We start from the raw sequence: 24,608 nt of genomic DNA on the forward strand, positions 1-24,608 counted from the left end.
TTGTTAGGAGTCTAATTTTAAGCAGTCCGTTTGAAAGCAGAGTGCTAGTGAAAAGACTGACTGGTTTCAAGAGATGCTACTAGTGGACAGTGAATTTTGATATTTAGCCTTGGGTAGGATGGGCATGGAGATAATGGTGATGCATTGAACTTGGGTCTTTATCAGACAACCTAACTATTGGGTGAGGGTATGAGGAGGACAAGATGAGGAGGACAAGATGAGGACGAGGTTATCTAATCCTCACACTTGTACCCCCAAACCTTCCTCCTGCACCCAAGGCAGATATCACGAATTATTCCCACCTGTACTCCTCCCCGAGGCTGCCATCCCACTGAATCAGAGTTGGCAAGCCATCTGGAACCTTGTGACCATCCCGAGAGTAAGTCCTTGCCCCACAGACCACCAAAAGATCACCTGTCTTTATGACGATGAATATTTTATTATAGAGATGGACTGAACTCACTTTTGCATAAAGAATCTCTGAATTGGGTCAGGGAAATCCACCCGCTAAGAGGTCACCACCCAGCTATCCCTGCCTCTGCCTCAGCCCCCACTTGCTGTTTACATCTCAGGGTCACTAGAAACAGCAGAGCCTGCTGTTCCCAGGGCCAGGCTGGTGGGGTTGGGCCAAGGGTCAGGGATCCTGGCTGCCTGCCAGATCAGAACCGCCCCGTCTCCCGCCCCAGTCGGTTGTCCAGAACCTGGAGCTGCCGGAGGAAGCCTGAGTTAGGGCAGATATTGCGGTGGGCCTGCACCGTCTGGATGGCCTCTACCAGCGTCATGTTCTCACAGATCATGAGGAAGGCCAGGACAAGTGTGGCAGAGCGGCTTACCCCCATGGCACAGTGTACCAGCACGCGGCCTGTAGGGAGAACCAACTTAGCATCAGCTACCTGCCCTTGAACCACCCACCCCTTTGGGAAGAAGAGACACCCATGGCCATCCTCTACAGTATCCTGGAATACTGACACTGTCTACTCTGTCAAATGGGGCAACTGAAGCCCAAAGAGAGGAGGCTGGCTCAAAGTCACATAGCAAGTTAGAGGCAGGGTTTAGGTTAGCAGCCGGGATTTCCTTCTTCCAGTCCAGGTGCTTCCTCAGGCATCCTTTGCAACTCTGGGCCAGGGGAAGGGGGTTTACTGAATTCCTGAGGTCACTGGGTTTGCATCAGATTATAGGGGGTGTCCATCTACCTCCCTTTCCCCCGAGTTCTGCCCTCTCGACTGCCCCTGCAGCTCTATGCCAAGGCCTCATCTTAGAGGAACCCGCTCAAGAGCTTCACTGGGTCCTATACCTTCTGTCCAGTGCCTGGCCTCTTATGGAGGGATGTGGTGATGCTGATGACCACACTGCATCTTAGTTATGTCTGCAATTGCTAGCCTCCAGGGTGTCCCTGAAGGGGACACTCACTGAATGGTAGTAGCTATTTTCCCTATGGAGTGGGAGGGTTACTGAAAGGGTTTGTCTCTCTGGACTCCCACCCACCAGTGCTACTGGAATAATGGAGAGTCCTAAAGCACACCCTCCACCCTCCACCATGCCTGATCCAGAAGTGCACCTTGGGGAACACTGAGGGCAGCTCGGATGTATCGAGCAACAGGCAGAAAGTAGACACTGAGGTCGAAGAAGGGGTTGTCGTCCGCCTCGATGCCATAGTACTCCAGGGACATTCCACGGTAGAATTTGGCACCTGTGTCCACCTGGAACTTGCCTGCAGCGGCATTCACAACGTGGGTGATTCCCAGCTGGATCAGCTTGCTCTTGTCCCGGGCTGCGTACCTGGAGGAGAGGGCACAAGGGGTTAGGAGAGTGGAGGTAGATCTCACTGTGGCAGCTCTGGCTGGGTTGAAGTTTGCAAACACCCCCGCCCACCACCCACCAAGGGTAGAGACAAGAGCCTGCAAATTGGCCCAGGGTGAAGGGGCTCCTCCTGTTGGAGTTTAAGACTCCTTTTCGGGCTGGGTGCGGTGGCTCACGCCTATAATCCCAGCACTTTGGGAGACCGAGGTGGGCAGATCACTTGAGGTCAGGAGTTTGAGACCAGCCTGGCCAACATGGTGACACCCCATCTCTACTAAAAATACAAAAATTAGCCAGGCATGGTGGTGGGCACCTGTAGTCCCAGCTACTCAGAAGACTGAGTCAGGAGAATCACTTAAACCCAGGAGGCGGAGGTTGCAGTGAGCCAAGATTATGCCACTGCACTCTAGCCTGGGCAACAGAGCTAGACTCCATCTCAAAAAAACAACAACAACAACAAAAAATAGACTCCTTTTCAGGCCAGGCACTGTGGCTTATGCCTATAATCCCAACACTTTGGGAGACTAAGGCGGGAGGATTCATTGAGCTCAGGAGTTCGAGACCAGCCTGGGCAACATGGCAAAACCTTATCTCTACAAACAATGCAAAAATTAGCCAGGCATGGTGGCATATGCCAGTAGTCCCAGCTACTTGGGAGGCTGAGGTGGGAGAATCACCTGAGCCTGGGAGGTTGAGGCTGCAGTGAGTGGAGATTGCACTACTATACTCCAGCCTGGGTGGCACAGTGAGACCCCGCCTCAAAAAAAAAAAAAAAAAGAAAAATTAGCTAGGTGTGGTTGTGCAAACCTGTATTCCCAGCTACTTGAGAGGCTGAGGTGGGAGAATTGCTGAGCCTAGGAATTTGAGGTTGCAGTGAATGATGATAATCCCTGCATTCCAGCCTAGGCAACAGAGAGAGACCTTGTCTCTAAATAAATAAATAAAAATTTTAAAATGAAATATTACTAGGATCACTGTTCATAATAGTCAAAAAGTGGAAACAATTCAAATGTCCATATTCAGTAAAATGGATAAACTGTGGCATAATCATATGATGACTCCAGCAGTGAAAACATGAATGAACTTCAGGTACACATAACAATGTGGGTGACTCACAAATTTGAGCAAATGATCCCAGGCACAAAACACACACAACATGATTCCACTCATATCATTTTAAACAACAGGTGAAACTAACTACACTGTTTAGATATATAGGTGGTAAAACTTTACAGAAAATAATTAATTCAACAGATAGTGATTAACCACAGAGAATAGAAAAGTTATAATGAGAAGGATTCAGTAGGGGCTTCTGGGAGACAAGTAATATCCTTTTTCTTCACTGGGTGATGAAGCTGTTCATACGTGCTCTGTGCACATTTCCTTTTTCCTTTTTTTTTTCTTTCTTTGAGACAGAGTTTCGCTCTTATTGTCCAGGCTGGAGTGCAGTGGCACGATCTCGGCTCACTGCAACCTCTGCCTCCTGGATTCAAGTGATTCTCCTGCCTCAGCCTCCTGAGTAGCTGTGATTGCAGGCGTCCACCACCACACCTGGCTAATTTTTTGTATTTTTAGTAGAGATGAGGTTTCACCATGTTGGCCAGGCTGGTCTCGAACTTCTGACCTCAAGTGATCCACCTGTCTTGGCCTCCCAAAGTGCTGGGATTACAGGCGTGAGCCACCGCACCCGGCCCTGTGCACTTTTCTTATGTGCATTCTAGTTCCACAGTTAAAAGCAGTAATAATATAAAAGGAAAGAAACATAGGGAAAGAGACGGTGGGAGGCAAGCGTGCCACCTCTGCCCTAGAGGGCTCTGAGAGAGGCTCATGCCCCCATTCCCGTGTGAACCTCACACCCTTCCGCCATCCCCACTCCTAACGTGGGTCTTACTCACGCATCTCCCAGGAAGAGGCTGGGCCAGACCTCATCGATATGGTTCAGTGTGGCAGCCTGACGGACCCACAGCAAGCGCTGCAGCGAAGCCAATGTGGGCGGCTGGTAGGGAGATGCCTGGACTGCCCCATGGATCTTGGGCCTCCGGAGGTCCTGCTTCTGCAGTGAGTCCATCCTGGAACAGAGTGGACACCGCAGTGGCTGGAGGCAGGCTCCCAGAGGGTGGATCCAGCTGATGGGGAAGCCCATGGTGCAGTGCCTAGGTGCCACGGGGATGCTGCAGGAAGGGCTTCATCTATTTCACATGAGGTATTAACAAGCTCAGCTGGGGCTGAGGCCTAGAACCCTTCCCCAGGGAACAAGGGAATCAAGCCTTTGTCACTGCTATGGAGCTGGGCAGACCTCTCTCCTGCCCTCTGCTGAGCTGCAGATGTATGAAGCTTTGGCCAAGGGGCCCTTGGAGTTCCCTGTTTGTGGCACTAGTCAGTGCAGATCTCATCCCTAAATCAGCTTGGACTTTGTAGGGATGAAAGCCCCAGATGGCTGTGGCTCTCAGGGCACCCAGGAAGCCCCCACCAACCTAAGCAGCTCATCTCAAGCCCCCTCACCTGCTACTTCCAGTACTCATCCTCAGACCCCCGTCCCCTCCCACTTTCAGGGGCTTGGAGATCAGAGCCTATCTCCAGGTAAGAGGCCAGGACTGTGAACTGGTATTTGTTAGCAACTCCGCATGGAATGAGCTAATGCCTCTTATAAGCCTGATGCCTCTGGCTGGGCACGGTGGCTCACACTTGTAATCCCAGCACTTTGGGAGGCTGAGGCAGGCAGATCAACTGAGGTCAGGAGTTCGAGACCAGCCTGGCCAATGAGGCAAAATCCTGTCTCTACCAAAAATACAAAAATTAGCCAGGTGTGGTGGTCCACTCCTGTAGTCCCAGCTACTAGGGAGGCTGAGGCAGGAGAACCTTTTGAACCTGTGAGGCAGAGGTTGCAGTGAGCTGAGGTCACACCACTGCACTCCAGCCTGGGCAACAGAGCGAGAGTCCATCTCAACAACAACAAAAAGCCTGATGTCTCACTCGTGGGATATCTGTTCCTATTTTACCCAGGAGGAAGCTGAAGCTCAGAATGTTTTAAAAGTGATGCCCAAAGCCATACGGCTCATGAGTAGCAAGGCTGGGGTTTTAGTCCATCCCCAAGCCTTTCAGTTACCATCTTTGGGGCCTCCAGAGAGTGGTCACTAACCCATCTGCTTCCTCAAGGGAGCCTGGTACTGCTGAGCCACACACCTGCCTACAGGCCCTGGGTTTTCCTCCTTACCCCCACGACTCAGGCCAGCACTGGATGTCAGGCCCCACCCGGGTCAGGTAGCTTGTTTCAGGCATCTGCTGGCTGAAGGAGTCAGGGACCCTGCGGAGCTGGATTTTCAGCGGCACCAGAATATGGGCCTGGTGCCGTGTTGGAGAGGGGGTCCTGTCTTTGCTAACTGCCCCTGATCCCCTGGACCAGTGACTAGGGAAGGTGCATACTGGGAAGAACATCTTTTCCCTTTGGTAGGCAGTGCCAGGACCAGAAAAAGAAACAGGCACCCAGGAGGCTGCCGGCTTGGCCAGGCTCACCCAGTGGGAGGCTGTCGGGCAAGGCGGAAGTGAAGACCAAGCTGTCCTCCTCATCCCCCACTGTGACCTCTCCAGGTGGCTGAGTGGCCTGCCACCTACCTGGGGCATGGCCTGGGGCCGGGAATGGGGGAGTGGGTGCAGGGGCAGGACTCTGCCTGAGCGGAACAGGGCTGGGCAGGTTCTGCCCAGAACACAAACACTGTGAAGCGGCTAGAATTCCAGGTGCTGGCTGGGGCGCCCATGGGGGGTGGGGCCTGAGAGCCGACTGAGGCCTTGTGGACTGCAGTGGGCCCTCCGGTCCCTCTAAACCCCCAGGCCTCCTCTCTGCTTGGTATCTGTTTGGGATTGAAGACCGTTGGTTCCATAAACCTCCATGAAGATGGGAGTCTACCTGAAGAGGTGGGAAGAGAACTTCTGAGGCAGGGAGGAGAGCCTGGCTCCCCCAGCACTCTGCCATAACTCATTCTGTGGCCACGAGCAAGTCTTTGCTCCCATCTGGACCACAGTTTATCTTCCCATGCTAGGGATGCTGGACTTAATTTTCAGGATGCTCTGGGGGTCTGACCCGAGAATGAGAGAGGAGTGTCTGGATATGCGGTCACTGCAGGGCAGAGGGCAGTGTAGTGTGGTGGAGTTGGGGAAGCCCCCAGGACCCAGAGGAGTCCAACAGCCACACTGGTCTGGAGCCATCAGGTGGGGCTGCACCACCCCAGGCAGGAGATGGGGCTTTGGGAAGTGGGACAGGCTCCGGGCTCAGGCCTGCGGAGCTTGGCATGGGGTGAGGCTGCCCCCTGGTGGCCAATGGGTGTGTCACAGCCCAGCCTTGCCAGGGAGCAGGCAGCCAGGCTCCACCCCCAGGAGGCTCCAGAGGGGTCAAGGATTTGGGGGCTGGTAGGCCACAGTGCATGCCTCTGCCTCCGAGGGGACCTAGGCCCAGGTCTGAAGAACGGGGCTCTCCCCTGGACTTAGCGCTATGCCTGGTCAGGCTCCACCTAATGCCTTGCTCCCGATGCTCAGGGTGTTGCCCCACCTGTCCACTCTAACCCACTGGGACCCAGCCCATCCCATCAGTCAGAGTCAGGCCCGGCCACCCCCCCAGGGACTCGTCCTTTAAGCCCCAGTCCCTCCCAAGGAGGGGAAGTCGGTGGTTGTGGCAGCTCCGCCGGTTTCTGACACCTGAGACTTGGTCTTCGGAGGGCCCTGCCTGACACTACATTCCATGTCTCCTTGTCCCCAGCTGGGTGAAGCACAGGCCCAACGTCCAGCAGGGCCAGGGCCCGGCCGAGCTCCCCTCCCACTCCCTGCAGTCTTCCTTCTCTCCCTGATCCCGTGCTCCTCCTCGCCCCCTTCCTGCCTCCCCCGCTCAGCAGAGCAGCTGCCTCTGTAGGCAGGGCTTTTCCTGGCTGCTCCTGTGCTGCTGCTGTTTGCAAGTCCATGCACTTCTTTTCTGTGTTTGCATCTCTCCTCCCTGGGTCACTCCCCCGTTTGCCTCTGTCTCCCATCCTCCCCCAGGAAGCTCATGTGCCTTTGCAGCCTCCCATGACGCTGCTCTGTGTGCCCAAGACATCGGGCAGAGGCACAGGCTTCCTTGGGGCAGGGGGCAGCTGTTTGCCATCCACCTCTCAGCTGCAGTTTCAGATAGTCCCCTGGACTTTCTTCCTGCCCATCCTTTCTGACTCCACTCCAGGGAGGCCAGACAGAAGTGTGGCCACAGGCCATGTGGGGCTGGAGATCTCAGGGCAGGACCAGTGAGGAGTGTGGGGAGAAGGCCTGCAGAAGGGTGGCGTGTGGCTGCCAGTGGGGAACAGCTGTGGGTCTCTGTGCTCAGCCTGAGGGTCTTGGGGAGGGCAGACCTGGGTAGAAATCTCAGGTCTGGTACTTGCAGCTATGTGGTCTTGTCTTCACCAAGCCAGTTTCTTCAGTGGGGCTGCTGTGAGAATTCCATGTAATAATTAATGTAAAGCACCTCCCACAGGGTCTGTCTTATGGTAGATGCCCAATAAATGGCACGTCTTACTATTATTATCACTACTATAATTACTCTTACCCTTTCCAGCCCCAGCCATATCCTATGTGGAGGGTAACTTCCCTACGGGACAGTGAGATTTCTTCTCTATCTCTGTATTTCTTGATATTTCTTTCTCTGTCCAGCAATAATTGTTATATTTAGCACTCATCAAGGATGTACTATGTGCCAGACAGAGCTAGGTGCTCACATTTTCTCATTGAATCCTCACAGTGCCTTTATGGAGCAGGTAATATTATCATCCCCATTTTACAGATGAGGAAACCGAGACTCAGAGAGGTTAAGCAACATACCCAGAGTCACATAGCCAATTGATGTGGGAGTCAGGATTCAAACCCAGGTCTCTCTGACTCTACTATACCTTGTCTGCGCCTTCATCTCTGACCCAGTCGGTTCTCTACCCAACCCAAACCCCACCCCTCCCCACACAGGCACAAGTGTCCTGGCCCTCATTACCCAGCATGCTCAGGGACCACATCCTACCCCCCCCAAATTAGGAGCACTCACCCACCTGTGGGAGTATCTGGCCCAGGCTGTGCACTTCTCTGACGGGCAGTTCGTGCTGCTGGCTTTCAGCCGCCTGTCTCCGCACACTTGATGCTGTTTCTATTTTTTGATTTGAGTTTAATTATAAAGCATGCTGTCTACTCCCCTCTTCCAGCCTCCCCTGCCACTCCCAACTTGTCCACTGGTTCCATGGCATGGCCAGTGCCAAGCACAGTCAGGCACCTTTCCCTCCAGGCCCAGGCCTCTGTCCCAGCACTGCTAAGAATCAAGGCAGCTCAGCCCAGGTCTGACTGTGGCATATTGTGTACATGTATGTTGATAGTGGGAGAAGGGGCCGGGCGCGGTGGCTGAAGCCTATAATCCCAGCACTTTGGGAAACCGAGGAGGGTGGGTCATGAGGTCAGGAGATCGAGACCATCCTGGCTAACAGGCTAGCCGGGCGTGGTGGTGGATGCCTGTAGTCCCAGCTACTCAGGAGGCTGAGGCAGGAGAATGGCGTGAACCCGGGAGGCAGAGCTTGCAGTGAGCCGAGATCGCGCCACTGCACTCCAGCCTGGGCGACAGGGCGAGACTCCGTCTCAAAAAGAAAAAAAGAAAAAACAAAAAGAAAAAAAGAGATAGTGGGAGAAGGAAGATCAAATAAACCATTTTAAAAGGTCCCTTGGCCGGATGCAGTGGCTAATGCCTATAATCCCGACACTTTGGGAGGCTGAGGTGGGAGGATTGCTTGAGCCCAGGGGTTCAAGACCAGTCTAGGCAATATAGCCAGACCCTGTCTCTACTAAAAATACAAAAAATTAGTGAGTTGGGCTGGTCGCGGTGGCTCATGCCTGTAATCCTAGCACTTTGGGAGGCCGAGGTGGGCGGATCACCTGAGGTCGGGAGTTCGAGACCAGCCTGACTAACATGGAGAAAACCTGCCTCTACTAAAAATACAAAATTAGCTGGGCGTGGTGGCGCATGCCTGTAATCCCAGCTACTCGGGAGCCTGAGGCAGGAGAATCATTTGAACCCGGGAGGTGGGGGTTGTAGTGAGCTGAGATCACGCCATTGCACTCCAGCCTTGGCAACAAGAACGAAACTCCGTCTCCAAAAAAAACATTAGCTGGTTGTGGTGGCACACACTTATAGTCCCTCCTACTCGGGAAGCTGAGGTGGGAGAATCACCTGAGCCCAGGAAGTCAAGGCTGCAGTGAGCCCTAATCCTTGACCATGCCATTGCACTCCAGCCTAAGCAACTGGAGTGAGACCCTCTCCCTTGGCCTTCAAGGGTATTATAGAAGAAGGGCAGGAAGTTCAAGTTGGAAGGATGTTCTGTGGAGGAGGACAGTGAAGAGGCTAGCCAAAAATCACATGTAAACTGGTGGCATTGCCAACAGCAGGACCCAGGTCCGGGGCCCTCAGTTAGGGGCCAAGGCCGATGGGACAGGTCCAGGATAAAGACCTAGAAGACTCAGGCTGAGGGAAGCAGCACAGGCCCACACACAGACACAGGTGTAGAGCAGGTCTTCAGACAGCCCTGGGCTGCAGGCAGAAGCAGTGTGTCCAGGGCCACTCCCACCCTCTGCCAAGCTCCTCCCCCAACCCAAAAGGCAGGGACACCCAGGCCCCACTGTCCCCTGAGGCCAGAGAGATGGTCTTTAAGGTCTCTCCCCATGCTAACTGTGGTCAGCTAGGACCTTCAATTGGGCCTACTAGAAATCTTCTCTGTCATCCACAGACCTTTGTCATACACACATACCTTGATACTACTCCCCGCTTGCACTCCCAGATGGTGGGAACAGGGCACACCCATGCCTGCAGCCATACCTGCACTGGGTCTCTGAGGTCTGAGCTCCAGGGAGCTAAGGCTCAGCCCCTCCTGGGGCTCTCTGAGCCCTGAGGGGAGCTGCTGGAGACAGCTGTGGCCAACAGCTATCACAAATATCTGGAACCCCCTTCCTCTCTCCTCCCCTCCCCACTTTCCCAGGGAACTTGGGGTCCCTGGCCAAGAAGCCTGAGGGCTTGGCTGAGAGGGGAGCCCACTCCCACCTGTGGAGACTGAAGACAGTGGCTGAGAGGGGGTGTAGGCGCCAGGAGGAGCCAGATGGAGTAGCAGGCTCTAGGGCCGACCCCACGCTGGGCTTCCACCATCTTCTGTGTGTCCGCCTGGGCCAGAGCCTCCAGCAGCACCAGCAGGATCAGTGCCAGGGTGGCAAAGTGGCAGAGCCCCATGGCAGGGAGTAAGGACCAGCTCTGGAAGAGAGATGAGCTCTGTGTTACAGGCAGGTGAACCAAGGCCCAGGCTGGCTGGGACTTGTTGGGGCAGGGATAAGAGCTGTCACCTAAACCTGCTTCTGCCTTGAGCCCTGTGCATAAGGTCAAGTGAGTGCAGCTGCTGGGAGAGATGAGGAGGTAGATTTGGTATCCATGGCTTAGGGACAGAGATGACCTCTCCCCATGGGCCCCTTATCTTTCAGAGTACCTGGACCCAGAGCTGCTCTGTATGGCTGCACAGGCTGCACACTGCATAACTCCTGGGGCCTCCAGTTGCACAGTTTGGTGGATGACACCTCCATGAATTGTGCAATGCTGTACCCCTGCCTATCCAACTTCCCCAAAGTCAGCTGCCTGATGGGAAAGATGCTGAGGTCAGAGGTCAGGGAGCCTAAGGCCCCAGGCTGAGGGAGAAGGGTGACTGGGCATGGTCCGAGATCTGATGCTCCGCCAGGTTCCTGGGTCCTGTCTAGAGGAGAGAGAGCAGGCAGGGAATCTGCCATTCCATGGGAAACATGCCCCCTTCAGACCTTCTACCCACAGAGCTCCATGCCACAGCTTGGCTACAGGCCAATCTCAAGCCCAGCTATAACCCAAAGTTTCTTATCACAGTCACCCCCAAACTCTAAACTTAGCCCCTGATCCTTCCCTAATCCTGCTCCTCAAGATGCTTATCCTCCAGCCAGCACAGGGGAAGGGGTCGATGCTGCTGAAGGGCCTCCCTTCTGCTTGGGCTGGCTATGCCTTCAGAGACAGGAACTGCTCTTAGGGGTGGGAGGCAGGGAGAGAGTCAGGCCCTGCCCTGGGAGGTTTCTGGGAGGAAAAAGCTACTGCTGTTCCAGCTCCCAAGCATGCCCAGGCCAGTCACCCACCCCCAAATGGCAGCCCGTCTGTGGCATGGGGTGGTAGGGACAGCCAAAGACAGGCTTGAGGCGAGACAGGCAAGGAGTTGTAGAGGAAGCAGAGGTGGAGGCAGGCCCTGCTGGGTGGGGAGCCACCGTGGAGGCCTGGCCTTAGCTCACTGATGAGAATTAGCTAAGCCTGGAAAGTTTTCTCTGTGGCACTGTACCTGGGGTCCAGACCTAGGGGGAAGGGGATGTGGAGGTTCAGGAGGGTCCAGGCTGGCTGTGCAGATGCCTCAGTGAGATTTAGGGGAGCCCCCACAGGCTTTCAGCTGAGGCAGGGCAGGTTGGCCCCAAGACCAGGTAGGAAAGTCTCCCCTCTTCCATTTTATGCTTTCCACACCCTCGCATCCTAGTCCTTCTCTTCTCTTTGGGGTCTGAAGGATCCAGGTGGGGTGGGGGATATGGGTTGGGGGTCCTACAGGAGAATTGCCTAGGCCAGGCCCTTGGGTGAGACCCTGGGTAGGTTAAGGGAACCCAGCAGTTTGGAGAGAGGGCCAGGCCCCCTTTAATCCTCACTTCCAGCCACACACAGCCCTGCCAACCAATCCTGGAAGAATCCAATCCTATGTCTGCAGCCTAGGCCCTCACCTGGCCTCTTCCGGCCAACCACATCCAGCTTTGCCCCCTGAGGCCTCACCTGGCCCCTCAGCTCTGGCCGGCACCCCGCAGTTGCTGGTCCAGCCTGCAGAGCTGGTGCAGGAAGCCTCGGTTGGGGAAGACCCATCGGTGCTGCCTCACGGTGATCACCGCCTGGCGCAGGGACAGCCGCTGGTGCAGCATGAGGTAGGCCAGGACCAGCGTGGCAGAGCGGCTCACGCCCACCACACAGTGCACCAGGACCTTGGCTGAGGAAGACATCCTGGTGAAAAACCCTGTCCCACACACCGGCCCACCCACGGGCTGGGATGGGGACCCAAGTTCCTTTCCTGACCCTGCCTTGGGTGCACTCTGTGATCCTGAGCAAGTCACTCAGCCTTTATGGACCTCAGTTTCCTGATCGGTAAAATGGGTAGATCAACACCTGTTCTGCCTACCCTTGGGATAGGGTCCGAATTTCTTTTTTCTTTTCTTTCTTTTCTTTTTTTTTTTTTTTTTTTTAGTAGAGACAAAGTCTCACTATGTTGCCCAGGCTGGTCTTGAACTCCTGAACTTAAGTGATTCTCCCACCTTGGCCTCCCAAAGTGTTGGGATTACAGGCGTGAGACACCGCTCCTGGCCTCCAAACCTTTTTAACACTTCAAGAGCTGGCCCCTGTCGCCTCATCTCAGATTGTCCCTCCCCCACCTTCAGCTCGAGAAACATGGAGGAACTTGCAGTTCCTTGAGGCTGCCATGGTTTCTGACCTCCAGCCTTACCACATGCTATTCCAAATACCTGCAAATTGTTTCCCCTGGTCTCGGTCTGACTAACTTCCACTACTCATCCACCAGGTTTTGGCTGAGACACGGCTTCCTCCACAGGCTTTCTTGACCGCTCAAAGTATTGCTTGAATCACAAAGCAGCTCATCTTTTTTGCATATTACCCATGGATACCTTTGTAGAGGGAAGTCCCCCCACCTTCCCGATCCTCTGGGCTTAGCACCCCCGCCGTGTGCTCCCAGAGCCCTCCACACTGGCCCACTCTTATGAGTAGCTCTCACTATACTATTCGCAATTTGGCTGTCTTTCCACCAGTTCCAAGAGGGCAGGGATCCTGCTTCTTAAAGTCTGGATTCCCAGTATTTAGCTCAGTGCCAGGCACGTAGTGGATACTCAGTAAATAGCTGGTGAATGAATGGATAAATAGCAAAAGAATGTCAAAGTGTGTTGGATACTAAAAAGTCATGTGAGCTGTAATCTTGTCATTCCTGTCACATAGATGAGGAAACTGAAGTCCAGAAAGGGACACTGGCTTGCCCAGGGTCACACAGTGAGGGACACAGCTGTCTTCTAGGATGGACACAAAGCCAGGACACCAGCCTCCCTGGGCTCCTATGCTGTATCCTGAGTATTTGAAGATATATTTCTTTTCTAGTTAAAAGTACTTTGGGGGCCGGGTGCGGTGGCTCATGCCTATAATCCCAGCACTTTGGGAGGCCGAGGCAGACAGATCACTTGAGGTTAGGAGTTCGAGACCAGCCTCGCCAACATGGTGAAACCCTGTCTCTGCTAAAATACAAAAATTAGCCGGGTATGGTGGCGGATGCCTGTAGTCCCAGCTACTTGGGAGGCTGAGACACGAAAATTGCTTGAAGCCCAGAGGCAGAGGTTGAACCCAGGAGGCGGAGGAGCAGAGATCGCGCCACTGCACTCCAGCTTGGGTAGCACTGAGACTCTGTCTCAGAAAAAAAAAAAAAAGGAGAAAAAAAGTACTTTGGGGCAGACATCTAGGTACCAAATGGTGCTTTCCCAAAGTTGAGTGTTGCAGAGAAAGAGCTGTTCTGCTGTTTGGGAGAAATGGCTTTCAGCCTCAGGGTTGCTCCTAACTCATGGCATGACCTTGTATTCCAGGCCTCAGTTTCCCCATCTGGGAAGGAATCGGGTTCGACAAAATGCTGGAGCACTAAGCAGAGGACTTTTTTTTGGCGGGGGGGGATGGAGTTTCGCCCTTTTGCCCAGGCTAGAGTGAAGTGGCATGATCTCGGCTCACTGCAACCTCCGCCCCCCATGTTCAAGCAATTCTCCTGCCTCAGCCTCCAGAGTAGCTGAGATTATAGGTGGGTGCCACCATGCCCGGCTAATATTTGTATTTTTAGTAGAGACGAGGTTTCACCGTGTTGGCCAGGCTGGTCTTGAACTCCTGACCTCAGGCGATCCACCCACCTCGGCCTCCCAAAGTGCTAGGATTACAAGCATGAGCCACCACACACGGCCTAAGCAGAGGATTTTTAAAAAGCAGGGATGGGAGGGCACTGATGACTGAGAGGAAATGAGGCATCCTCCCCATGAATGAGCAAGATGGGATATGGGCTTGGACCCCAAGTCCTACCCCCAGGCGTGTTGAGGGCACGGTGGATGAAGTCAGCCGCAGAGGAGAAGTAGGCACTGATGTCAAAATCAGGGAGGTCGTGGGCTGGCACCCCCAGGTAGCTCACACTGCTGCCGTAGAAGTCAGGGCCGCCCTGACAGTAGAGGCCCTTGTGGGCGGCGTTCAGCACGTGGGTGATGCCCAGCTTCCACAGCTCAAAGCGGTTGTTTGCCGTGGCCCTGGGGAGGGCAGGAAGGGCACTTGATGCCGGCCAAGCCATGGGACCAGGAGGGAGGCTGTGCCTGGCCCCCTGCTGCAGAGGGACCGAGCCATTAGGGTCCAAAGAGAGTCCAACCCCAGCAAGCTCCAAGTGGGGTCTGACTCCACAGCCCTATACCCAGAGCCCCGCACTTTCTGGTGGCTGAGCCGGCGGTGTGTGTGTCGGGGGATCTTTAGACCCTCTTTGCTTCCTCAATGCATCTGTCCCTGCCTTGGCCAGGACAGGAAGGAAGGGATTGCTTCAGCCCTGGAACCTGGCTGCCCCTCCCTTCTTGCCCCATGTCCTCCCACGCATATCCGTCCTCTACTGGCTACCACCTCATACCTGCTTCTAACCTACAAATGTTTAGAGGCAACACCTTCTCTGATTCACCTTCAGTCAGGCTTCTCCACCGTCTGTATCCAGAGGAGGGAGGCTGGGCCCAGAAACAGGGGGCTCTCTGTCTACCTTATCTCATGCCCCAAATACTATTTCCTGGGCCTCTGCCTCTACACTTGACAGTTGTCCTGGAAATGTTTCCTGGAACTCCTGGGAGACTCCCTGCTTTCAGGCAGGCGAAGTCCCTGCTCTCCCTGGTGGCCATACCTGGTCACTGCACTGACCTCAGCACCCCCGGGGGTCCTGGAGAAGGTCCCTGGCCTGGGATGGTCAGAGCAGAGCTATTTCTCCTTGTTTCCACCCTCCTGTGTCTGGTAAAGCGACCAAGAACTGCCTCTCCACGTCCCCACCCCCATGCCCCTTGGCCAGCTACCACTCACGCATCTCCTATGAAAAGGTTGGGCCAAACTTCGTCCACACGGCTGCAAGAAGACTTCCCTGCCCGCAGGAGCTCCTCCAGCTCCAGGATGCTGGGGCAAGGCGTGGCTTTGTCCTCTCCCCCCAGCTCTGGGAGAGAGGTCTCAGCCATGGGCCAGCCCGCCCACCCCTCTGCCTCTGTGGTCACTCCTCTCTGCCTCTCCAGTGTCATTTCTCCTTCCCAGAGATTGACAGGGACAGGTGACAGAAGCAAGTGACTCAGCAAGTCACAGGGGCCTCTGGAGTGGACAAGACCTTTTCCTCCCCAAGCCTCCCCCCACCCCCAAACTCCATGAGAACACAGAATCAGAGAGACCTCTGCAAGTCAGCTACCACCCTGAACCTCAGTTTCTTCATCTGTAAAGTAAGGATAATCACACCTACCTCAGAGAATTTGAGGATTAGATGAAACAAAGGACATGCTGGGTCTGACACATAGTAGGTGCTTAGAAACATCTGTGGAATTAGTAGATGTAGAGCCCTGCCTAAGGCTATTAGGTTCTGAGGACTGAGTTAAAGTAGAGATCCAGGGTGCAGAGGAGGTGGCTGGTTCCAAGGATGAATGATAGAAAGAACTGAAAGAAGTGTACAGTCTAGGTGGGCCACAAATTGGGCAGGAGCTGGATTGGATGTCTGTTGGATGAGTCTCTGAATTACGGAGGTCAGGGACAGTTTTCTGAGTTGTAGAGTCAGAGAAATATGGGTAAGAGACATGGAGAGCTTCCTTTAAAGGGTGCCCACAAGATTCATGGGGGGAGGGGGAAGGTGTTTTTTTTTGTTTTGTTTTGTTTAGACAGGGTCTCACTCTGTCACCCAGGCTGGAGTGCAGTGGCATCATCTTGGCTCACTGCCACTACCACCTCCCAGGTTCAAGTGATTCTCCTGCTTTAGCTTCCTGAGTAGCTAGGATTACAGGCATGTGCCACCATGCCACACTAATTTTTGTGTTTTTAGTAGAGATGGGGTTTTGCCATGTTGGTCTGACTGGTCTTGAACTCCTACCTCAAGTGATCAGCCTGCCTCGGCCTCCCAAAGTACTGGGATTACAGGTGTGAGCCGCCGTGCCGGGCCAATGGGGCAAGGTTTGAACAATGGTCCTGTAGTGAAGATGGCTAACTTCTCAGAAGAGAAGGCTGAAGAGGGCCTTGTATGTCAAATGGGGAGACGGGAGGTGAGTGTTGCCCTAGACTTTGAGAGCCAAAGGGGCTAACTGTCATCAGAAACAGTGGGAGGGAGATTCCTCTGCCTATAAGGGCTTTGGGTCCCAAAATAGAAACTGAGAAAGGTCAACCTGTCCTTCTGCCAGAGCTGGTTATCAGCAAGAGAGATGAGATGTCTCACCCTCTCTCATGTGACTTCTCAGTGGCCCTAATGGAGCTGGGAAGGGTATGAGCTGCAGTGGGGAGGTTCCCAGCTGCCCTTGGCCTTAAGACCAGTTTGAAGGGAAAGGCCACACCAGGGCATCCCATGGAAGCAGTCTACACTCATGTCTATCCCATTCAGAACCATTGAAGTCGGCCCGGCACTGTGTGGGGAGGCAAGACCAAGGAGGGGCTCGTGTCCAGGTTACAGCTGGGTTTGGACTTGGTTTATGCCAATGCTAGACCTGGCTTGGGAGGAGACCTTCCCTCAGGGTGGTGCAGCATGGTGGAGTGAGGAAAATACAGGATCTGATGTTAGAGAGATTTGGGTTGGAATATCAGTTTGCAATATGTCAGGCAGTATGTTTCTTTACTTTTCTGTGCTATAGGATCCCCCTTGCAGAATTAGCACTAGGATTTTTTTTTTGAGATGGAGTTTGCTCTTGTCGCCCAGGCTGGAGTGCCATGGCGTGATCTCGGCTCATTGCAACCTCCATTTCCCGGGTTCAAGCGATTCTCCTGCCTCAGCCTCCCGAGTAGCTGGGATTACAGGTATGCACCACCACGCCCGGCTAATTTTTGTATTTTTAGTACAGACGAGGTTTCCCCATGCTGGCCAGGCTGGTCTCGAACTCCTGACCTCAGGTGATCCCGCCTCAGCCTCCCAAAGTGCTGGGATTACAGACGTGAGCCTCCGCTCCCGGCCTTAGCACAAGGATTAAATGAGATGTTTATATGGCGTTTGGCATAGACACTGTCAAAGAGTAAATGGGCAATAAATTATAACAATGATCATTGGGGGCTGGCTATTGGAGAAGAGCTGGCTCTCTCCAGAGGAATTCGGATTACCTCCTTCTAGGCCCTAACCCCATTTACTGATCCCACAGGCCCCGCCCCGGCTCCGCTAGCCCCGCTTCCTCCTGTCGCTTTGGCCTCCGGCATGACGCATGCGCCCTCGGGCTCCTCCGCGGCAGCATCTCGGTTCTCCTCTCGGGCCCATCTGGAGCCTCGCGTCTTTTCCAGTGTGGGCCCCGCCCCCTGCCGGTAGAACCCCGTCCCCGGCCGGTAGGGCCCCGCCTCCCGAAGCAGTTCCGGTTCGGCTCCGAGCAGCTGCCGGCGCGGCGGTGACGGCGGCCGGGACGATGCCTGCGCGCAGTCGCCACCGCCCCCGCCTCCACTCCGGCTCCCCGCCCCGGGCTCCGCCCCCGCCGCTTGAGGCGCTTCACTCCGGCGAGGCGGGGAGGGCCCCGGACTCCGACGGCGGCTCGGACGCCGACTCGGAGGTGGGTCCGGGGAGCCCGACTCGGACCGCGGAGGTGAGCGGGAGCTGAGGCTGAGGAGAGGGGAGCTTGGGGGGCGCCTGCTGCCAAGGGTGAGTGGGGAGTCTGGGATGGAGCCGGGGGCTGCCGAGGGACCGCGACCTGGAGGGGCCCCGGGGAGACGGTTGAGGGAACCGGGATAGTCAGCTCTGGAATGGAATCTGAAGCAAATGGAGGTTGTCGAACTGAGGGCCTGAAGGCTGAGGGATAAGTGGAGGCCGAGGAACGAGAGGGAGAGAGCGAGAGGGGGAGGCTTGAAGAGCCCAGAGCTTGGGGGCTTTTGAAAGCTGCGCAGTGGGGGAAAAAGATCGAAGGTCCTGCGGGAATGTGGACCCGGAAGAAGAGATGCTCTGGGTTTGGCAGCGGGGATGAGGAGTCAGAGGAGCAAGACCTGGGCCGGTGTTCCCTTCCCAGGGCGAGGGAGGGCGATCGGGGCTGGGACTGGAGCCCTCTCATGGGGTTCTCCTCTTACGGAGCCCTCTTATCCGCCTCCCACCCCGGGTGGGGCTGGTGGTGATGGAGGGCAGGATTTAGGTTTGACTAGAAGGAGGAGGGCTGTTGGATGGGAAATCGTCTGGCCTCAAGGGGTGAGGGAGGCACTGAAAAAGAGAAGTGTGGTCAAGAAAGAAAAGGAGCCCTTGGGGATCTAATTTTGGGCTTTGGCATTTTTACAGGTGCCTTTTAAAACATCAAAGATCACTAGGGCAATGTACTTGGATCGTGGGGCTTTCTCGTTCGTGCACAGTGGATCATTTTAAGAATCTTGGGTGGAAGGGGCGGTGTGAATCACTGATTTGCCTAAAGGACTGGGGGAAGTAGTGGAGAGGAAGTGATGTTTGAAGAAGGTAGTGGAAGACGTGATTCTGAAAATGAAGATATCATTTGGATTTATTGACAGTAATGGTGTCCTTTTTTTCATTGTAATTTTTTCGTAGCTAAGTTTAAATACCAGACATGTTAAGATCCTAAAAATTTACTATATTACCTTTAAGTTTTAAAAACTTGAAACAAGACTTTGGATACTCAGATTTTAAAAATTAAACTTGAAACAAGAATTTGGACACTTGGATTTTACAGATACTCAACATGGACTGGTTCCACTTTCAAAGTTTTAAGTTGACACATGTATTTGCCACATAGTAAATGTATGGTCAATGCAAGTTTCTGGGTGAAGGGGGCACAGTGAACTTGCCACAGTCTAGGCGCAATACCAAATCTTCCTCTCACTGATAACCCCAGGATTGGACTTATCTCTTGAAAATTGGAGAGGTACCTTTGACTGATTGGCAAAACCAATATTGAAATACTATTTTGCAGGTATTGTGTGAATAGTATTTTTAGTAGAGTGATTTGGAAAAATAAGGACAGAGGATGCTTGTAGTTGGCAGCCAACACAACTGGGACAGGTGGGTATACAGATGCTTTTTATAGAAGACATAGTTCCAAAACATAATTATGCCAGAAAAAGAATGATTGCAATATTTATATTCACTTTAGTAGAGATAAATTGACTTCCTTTTGTGATTGTTAAGTCATAACATGGTTCCATGAAGTCTTTGACTTTAGCCACATGTCTCATATGTTTTACAACTTTTTATGTGATTATAGGTTTGTAAAGTTGTTGGCCATTTCTTTTCTCTTCCTTCTTTTCTTTTCTTTCCTTTCTTTTTTTTTTTTGAGACAGAGATTCGCTGTGTTGCCCAGGCTTAAGTGATCCTCCCACCTCAGCCTCCCAAGTAGCTGGGAGTAGCTGGGACTGCAGGTGGGCGCCACCATGGCTGGCTAATTTTTGTTAGCATCAAGCGTTTTCTAAATGCTTGATTAAATCTAAATGGATATCTACTGTTTAATCTTCATGAGATGATAATTTGATTTGCAACAGCTTTTAAATTAGTTTATGTGTATGGGCTATGTGACATACCCTCAGATGCACAGTGGAATAGTAATTGTTTCTTCAAAGGATATGTGAATTCTTAGCTAAAAATGCTGAGATTGTTAAAGTATTAATTCCCTTTTCTTTAACTTAATACAAATTATCTTCAGTTGAAGTTTATGTAATATTACTGTTTGTTGGTTTTATCTTTAGAGTGAGATCCTCTGGAGACCTTATCTTCATACTTAGTTGTGAATAAAAGTCATGGCATGTAAAAATTTGCTGAACTGCAATATAAGAACTCTATTAAGATTACAGCTTAATGTTATTGCAAAATTAAAGAGAAACTGTTAGATGGAGTTGTACAATTAACATATTAGCATGTCTAATAGTTTTTTAATTTTTGTTTCCCTTTGTCAGTTCTCACACCCATTGAATAAAGAAAATCAGTTTTTGGCTAGGTGTGGTGGCTTACTCCTGTAATCCCACCACTTTAGGAGGCCGAAGCAGGCAGATCACTTGAGGTCAGGAGTTCAAGACCAGCTTGGCCAACATGGCAAAACCCCATCTCTACTAATACTATAAAAAGAATTAATCAGGTGTGGTGGCTCACACCTGTAATCCCAGCTACTCAGGAGGCTGAGGCAGGAGAATCTCTTGAACCCGGGAAGCAGAGGTTGTGAGCTGAGATCACACCACTGCACTCCAGCCTGGGCAACAGAGTGATATGTCTCAAAAAAAAAAAAAAAATCGGTTTCTCTAAGGCAGAAGAAGCCATCATGACTGCGATGGCAGAATATGCAGACATATTTAGGTAAATCAGTTTTGATTTCAGTACCATAACCCCCCTTCTGCAAAAGCTTATTCACATTGCACAGTTGCTTATAAACATTTTTTTATTTTGTTAATCATTAGATCCTCAATACTTCTTCAAAACTTTGCTGTTACTGATTAAGACATTTTCATGGCTTTTCTAAGAATTGAAATTTGAACACTTTTTTTGAGAAACTTAAATCACAGATGTTTCCATGAATAGTATTATTATTGTTTTATAAGAATGCCATGTTAACAAGCTATTCTTTCAAGATTTTTACTTCCAGGCCTGATGTAATATATGGTGTTAATTGTTGGGTGTACCTAGCATGCCCGTTAATTTATGGATGGAAATCTTTCCTGTCTTCAGATTCTACCCCCTTCATTTTTCATATGCCAGTGGATTGTTAATGAACTAAGATTGAATTCACTTTTTAATTTTAAAGCTTCTGTAGCTTTGATTCTCTTTGGACATCAAACTGATTTATACGAGATATGAATACAATTGCATATTCTGCTAAATTACCTATGAAGCTCTTTTGAATGATTGTGGTATTTGGTGAAAAAATACAGTATGAGCTAATCAAAATTCTTTTAAGGGATTTAGGTTATAGAGGAGGACTATACTATTTCATTCCCAGATTAGATTAAATGTTTTACTTATTTGCAGAGATGACAGGGGAGAGCCTTGATTATTTTCACGTCTCATGTATTTATATTTGTTTACAAATAAAGAGTTACTTATTTGCAAAATGCCGTATCTTTAATACTTGCTTACATGTGATTTTGGGAATTCTTTTGGAACCAGTTTTTGTTCTTGTTTTTGTTTTGCTCTAAGGGTATGATGTAACACATTGAGGGGTTAATAGTAGGGCAAGAACAGAGAAAGCCATTTGACAACAGATATCATCAGGACAGTGATGCTTACTTTAGGTCTTGTGGTTTTCTTGGCCTTGAGAAATCAAGATGTTAACTAAAAATAGGAGAGCATGGGCCAGGCACACTGGGAAAACAGATTGGTGTTTACATGCTACCGCTGTTGCTTCCTGGTAATTTGCCATATGAATGTGTGGGTATGGATTTGTAACAGACCTGTGATGTGAATATTCCTGAACCCCCTCCTCCCATACACACAGTACCATCATCACAGATCTGAAGCCTAACCTTTAGCTGAGTTCAGTGACTTCATGTTTCCGTATTGAAATGTTCTGTTATTGGGTCCTCACAATACTATAGAATGTAACATACTGCGGGCACGGTGGCTCACGCCTGTAATCTCAGCACTTTGGGAGGCCGAGGCGGGCGGATCACGAGGCCAGGAGATCGAGACCATCCTGGCGAACACGGTGAAACCCCGTCTCTACTAAAAATACAAAAAAATTAGCCGGGCCTCGTGGCAGGCGCCTGTAGTCCCAGCTACTCAGGAGGCTGAGGCAGGAGAATGGCATGAACCCGAGAGGCGGAGCTTGCAGTGAGCGGAGATCACACCACTGCACTCCAGCCTGGGCAACAGAGCGAGACTCCGTCTCAAAAAAAAAAAAAAAAAAAGACTATTAACTAAGAAAAACTTGGTTATAATAGTTTCACCACAGTGTTTCACCATAAAACAATGTTTTATGATATGTACCTCAGAAAAGAGTGTTGTGGGGCAGGGCAGTGAATTATATTTATATTTGTCTAAGTATTTTTTGGTAGTTTTTTTTTTTTAAAGATAGGGTCTCACTGTCTCCCAGGCTGGAATACAGTGGCGCGATCATGGCTTATGCAGCCTTGAACTCCTGGGCTCAAGCAGTCCTCCTGCCTCAGCTTTCTGAGTAGCTGGGACTATAGGCGTGTGCCACCACACCTGGCTAATTTTTTTAAATTTTTCTTTTGTAGAGATGGGGTATCAGCTATGTTGACCAGGCTGGTTTAGAGCTCCTGGCCTCGAGCAGTCCTCCCACCTCAGCCTCCCAAAGTGCTAGGATTACAGGTGTGAGTGTCTTAAATTTTTGAAGTGCATTTAGTTAAGCTTATGAGTTGTGGCAGAGGACAAGAGGTAGTAACATGAGTATCTGTTATCTTGATACTTGTTCTGTTGTCTTGAAATTTTTGACAGATAAATTCTAGTTGGAGGTGAGAACCATGGATTCTGCTAATTTAGGGCCTTCCTATAGGTTAACTGGTGTCACTGAGTTTTTGGAAATACTTGCAAATCTGTTTTAGTTTGGAACTTTGAGATTAAATGGAATTGATGTCAGTTCCATCAATATAATATTAGCATGAAAGCCAGAGATTTCCAAAACCATACATTAAAATTTGGCTGCAAATCCAATCCATTTTCACAATATTTAATGGAGTTTGAAGTCTTGAGCCAGTTTCTCATTTTCCATTATATTGATTAGATTTTGGATGTAGCATATTTATTTATTTATTTAGAGACAGAGTCTCACTTCGTTGCCGAAGCCTGGTGCAGTGGCGTGATGTCAGTTCATAGCAACCTTCGCCTCCCGGGTTCAAGCAATTCTCCCACCTCAGCCTCCCCAGTAGCTGGGATTACAGGCGCGTGCCACCATGCTCGGCTAATTTTTTGTGTTTTTAGTAGAGACGAGGTCTCACTATGTTGCTCAGGCTGGTTTTGAACTCCTCGGCTCAAGGCATCCACCCCCCTTGGCCTCCCAAAGTTGGGTTTACAGGCGTGAACCACCGCAGCCTGCCAGTGTAGCATATTTAAAAATAAAGATTTTACCAGCTGGGTGGGGTGACTCATGCATGTAATCCCAGCACTTTGGGAAGCTGAGGTGGGTGGATCCCTTGAGCCCAGGAGTTTGAGACCAGCCTGAGCAACATAGTGAGACCTCGTCTCTACTAAAAATACAAAAATTAGCCGGGTGTGGTGGTGTGCACCTATAGTCCCAGAACTCAGGAGGCTGAGGTGGGAGGATCACCTGAGCCCAGGAGGTCAAAGCTGCAGTAAGCTGTGATTGCGCCACTGCACTCCAGCCTGGGTAAAGAGTGAGGCCCTATCTTAAAAAAAAAAAAGGGTGGGCGTGATGGCTCACACCTGTAATCCTAGCACTTTGGGAGGCCAAGGTGGGTGGCTTACTTGAGGTCAGGAGTTCAAGACCACCCTGGCCAACATGGTGAAACCTTTTCTCTGCTAAAAGTACAAAAAAATTAGCTGGGCGTGGTGGCACGTACCTGTAATCCCAGCTGCTTGGGAGGCTGAGGCAGGAGAATTGCTTGATCCCAGGAGGCAGAGGTTGCAGTGAGCCGAGATTGCGCCATTATACTCCAGCCTGGGCTACAAGAGTGAAATGCTTTCTCAAACAAACAAACAAACAAAAAAGATTTTACCAAATTGATATGTTAAACTGCTAGCCTGGTTAGAATAAAAATTAGAATTTTAGATACTTAGCTTCTTTACTGGTTTGCTGTGGCATTGCAGCCAGGTCAGGAACCCTTTACCAAATTTATCACCAAAGTCCTATCATCGTGGAAAAATTTTTGGTATAACTGAGAATATAAAATGGACGGTAATATCTGTCAGATTCTTACTCATTGAGGGGAGACAGTTCTGGATTTGGTGTAGATAACTTGGTGCAGCCTGATAGTAGAAGTTAGTTTAAAGGCTATTTGGAACCAGAAAAAGATGTTATTTGGTATATATGACAACTTTTTTTGAGTGAAATTATAAGAGTTCACGGTTAGAGCAGCAAAAAAGTCCAAGAACTGAAGTGCAGCCAAGAGAATGATGATGTAACTGAGGAGGGAATTTAATTCTTTTAAAGATGCTGCCCTAAATTCTACTGCTCAGAAGTGGGACATAACAAAACAGAAAATCACCACTAAAGAGTTTCAAAATGGATGGTAGGAGTTAGTGCAAGGTCTTTGAAACTGTTTTGTAATTATTGCAGATTTTATCGATGTTTTGGAAACAATACCCTGTGCTTGCTAAGAAAATGCAAAATAGGCTGGGCACAGTGGCTTGCGCCTGTAATCCCAGCACTTTGGGAGGGTGAGGCAGGCAGATCACTTGAGATCAGAGTTCGAGACCAGCCTGGCCAGCATGGTGAAATGCTGTCTCTACTAAAAATATAAAAATTAGCCAGGTGTGGTGGTGTGCCCCTATAGTCCCAGCTACTTGGGAGGCAGAGGCAGGAGAATTGTTTGAACCTGGGAGGCAGAGGCTGCAGTGGGCTGAGATCACGCCGCTGCATTCCAGCCTGGGCGA

At 51.2% G+C, this 24,608-nt stretch overlaps 3 protein-coding genes across 12 annotated transcripts in view, besides 8 other annotated features; 1 reads left to right on the forward strand and 2 right to left on the reverse strand.

The window, feature by feature from the left end:
* DUSP13B (dual specificity phosphatase 13B) lies at positions 418-15,175 on the reverse strand. Of its 6 annotated transcripts, NM_001320842.2 has the most exons (7): positions 14,993-15,175; positions 13,976-14,193; positions 9,878-10,081; positions 7,851-7,945; positions 3,696-3,869; positions 1,559-1,779; positions 420-862 (listed from the first exon to the last, which is right to left on the reverse strand). In NM_001320842.2, exons 3-7 carry the CDS (start codon positions 10,058-10,060, stop codon positions 660-662), a joined length of 876 nt encoding a protein of 291 aa, NP_001307771.1. In that variant the 5' UTR covers positions 10,061-10,081; positions 13,976-14,193; positions 14,993-15,175; the 3' UTR covers positions 420-659. The 6 variants fall into 6 exon arrangements, with proteins under 6 accessions (NP_057448.3, NP_001307771.1, NP_001007274.1 ...); NM_001007273.2 differs by lacking the exon at positions 13,976-14,193; NM_001320843.2 differs by lacking the exons at positions 9,878-10,081; positions 13,976-14,193.
* SAMD8 (sterile alpha motif domain containing 8) overlaps positions 5,577-24,608 on the forward strand; it is an 82,531-nt gene continuing 63,499 nt past the window's right edge. For 2 of the 5 annotated variants that reach the window (NM_144660.3, XM_005269541.6), the window contains exon 1: positions 17,640-17,762. The gene's annotated coding sequence lies outside the window, so the exon portion shown is untranslated. Of the gene's footprint in view, positions 5,713-17,639; positions 17,763-24,608 lie in introns of those variants that run through there. The other 3 variants (NM_001174156.2, XM_047424641.1, XM_011539312.4) reach the window with 2 other exon arrangements.
* Positions 9,426-10,270: an enhancer, noted in NCBI's record as "H3K27ac-H3K4me1 hESC enhancer chr10:76863200-76864044 (GRCh37/hg19 assembly coordinates)". NCBI's record gives its function as "activates a minimal SCP1, AML or CMV promoter by ChIP-STARR-seq in primed H9 embryonic stem cells {active_cell/tissue: H9 hESC(primed)}" and the evidence as "EXISTENCE:reporter gene assay evidence [ECO:0000049][PMID:30033119]".
* Positions 10,271-11,115: an enhancer, noted in NCBI's record as "H3K27ac-H3K4me1 hESC enhancer chr10:76864045-76864889 (GRCh37/hg19 assembly coordinates)". NCBI's record gives its function as "activates a minimal SCP1, AML or CMV promoter by ChIP-STARR-seq in primed H9 embryonic stem cells {active_cell/tissue: H9 hESC(primed)}" and the evidence as "EXISTENCE:reporter gene assay evidence [ECO:0000049][PMID:30033119]".
* Positions 11,653-15,141, reverse strand: DUSP13A (dual specificity phosphatase 13A). Its single transcript, NM_001007271.3, has 3 exons — positions 14,993-15,141; positions 13,976-14,193; positions 11,653-11,852 (listed from the first exon to the last, which is right to left on the reverse strand). Exons 1-3 carry the CDS (start codon positions 15,139-15,141, stop codon positions 11,653-11,655), a joined length of 567 nt encoding a protein of 188 aa, NP_001007272.1.
* Positions 11,961-12,804: an enhancer, noted in NCBI's record as "OCT4-NANOG-H3K27ac-H3K4me1 hESC enhancer chr10:76865735-76866578 (GRCh37/hg19 assembly coordinates)". NCBI's record gives its function as "activates a minimal SCP1, AML or CMV promoter by ChIP-STARR-seq in primed H9 embryonic stem cells {active_cell/tissue: H9 hESC(primed)}" and the evidence as "EXISTENCE:reporter gene assay evidence [ECO:0000049][PMID:30033119]".
* Positions 12,526-12,575: an enhancer, noted in NCBI's record as "active region_3607". NCBI's record gives its function as "activates an Ori minimal core promoter by ATAC-STARR-seq in GM12878 lymphoblastoid cells {active_cell/tissue: GM12878}" and the evidence as "EXISTENCE:reporter gene assay evidence [ECO:0000049][PMID:35858748]".
* Positions 16,450-17,399: an enhancer, noted in NCBI's record as "H3K27ac hESC enhancer chr10:76870224-76871173 (GRCh37/hg19 assembly coordinates)". NCBI's record gives its function as "activates a minimal SCP1, AML or CMV promoter by ChIP-STARR-seq in naive and primed H9 embryonic stem cells {active_cell/tissue: H9 hESC(naive and primed)}" and the evidence as "EXISTENCE:reporter gene assay evidence [ECO:0000049][PMID:30033119]".
* Positions 17,387-17,726: a silencer, noted in NCBI's record as "silent region_2506". NCBI's record gives its function as "represses an Ori minimal core promoter by ATAC-STARR-seq in GM12878 lymphoblastoid cells {active_cell/tissue: GM12878}" and the evidence as "EXISTENCE:reporter gene assay evidence [ECO:0000049][PMID:35858748]".
* Positions 17,387-18,348: a biological region, named in NCBI's record as "H3K27ac hESC enhancer GRCh37_chr10:76871174-76872122".
* Positions 17,400-18,348: an enhancer, noted in NCBI's record as "H3K27ac hESC enhancer chr10:76871174-76872122 (GRCh37/hg19 assembly coordinates)". NCBI's record gives its function as "activates a minimal SCP1, AML or CMV promoter by ChIP-STARR-seq in naive H9 embryonic stem cells {active_cell/tissue: H9 hESC(naive)}" and the evidence as "EXISTENCE:reporter gene assay evidence [ECO:0000049][PMID:30033119]".

This window comes from Homo sapiens, chromosome 10, assembly GCF_000001405.40.
Source record: "Homo sapiens chromosome 10, GRCh38.p14 Primary Assembly".
NCBI classification, from domain to species: Eukaryota; Metazoa; Chordata; class Mammalia; order Primates; family Hominidae; genus Homo; species Homo sapiens.

Excerpts from the sequence above, each read along its gene's own strand:
- DUSP13B (NM_001363514.2), bottom strand. The coding sequence starts at position 5,421 with ATGCCCCAGGTAGGTGGCAGGCCACTCAGCCACCTGGAGAGGTCACAG. Across the intron at positions 3,870-5,014 it reads TGCTGGCCTGAGTCGTGGGG|GATGGACTCACTGCAGAAGC; the intron begins GTAAGGAGGAAA and ends ACTCTGTTCCAG. Across the intron at positions 863-1,558 it reads TGCCCTCAGTGTTCCCCAAG|GCCGCGTGCTGGTACACTGT; the intron begins GTGCACTTCTGG and ends TTCTCCCTACAG.
- DUSP13A (NM_001007271.3), bottom strand. The coding sequence starts at position 15,141 with ATGGCTGAGACCTCTCTCCCAGAGCTGGGGGGAGAGGACAAAGCCACG. Across the intron at positions 14,194-14,992 it reads AACCTTTTCATAGGAGATGC|GGCCACGGCAAACAACCGCT; the intron begins GTGAGTGGTAGC and ends TGCCCTCCCCAG. Across the intron at positions 11,853-13,975 it reads TGCCCTCAACACGCCTGGGG|CCAAGGTCCTGGTGCACTGT; the intron begins GTAGGACTTGGG and ends TGTCTTCCTCAG.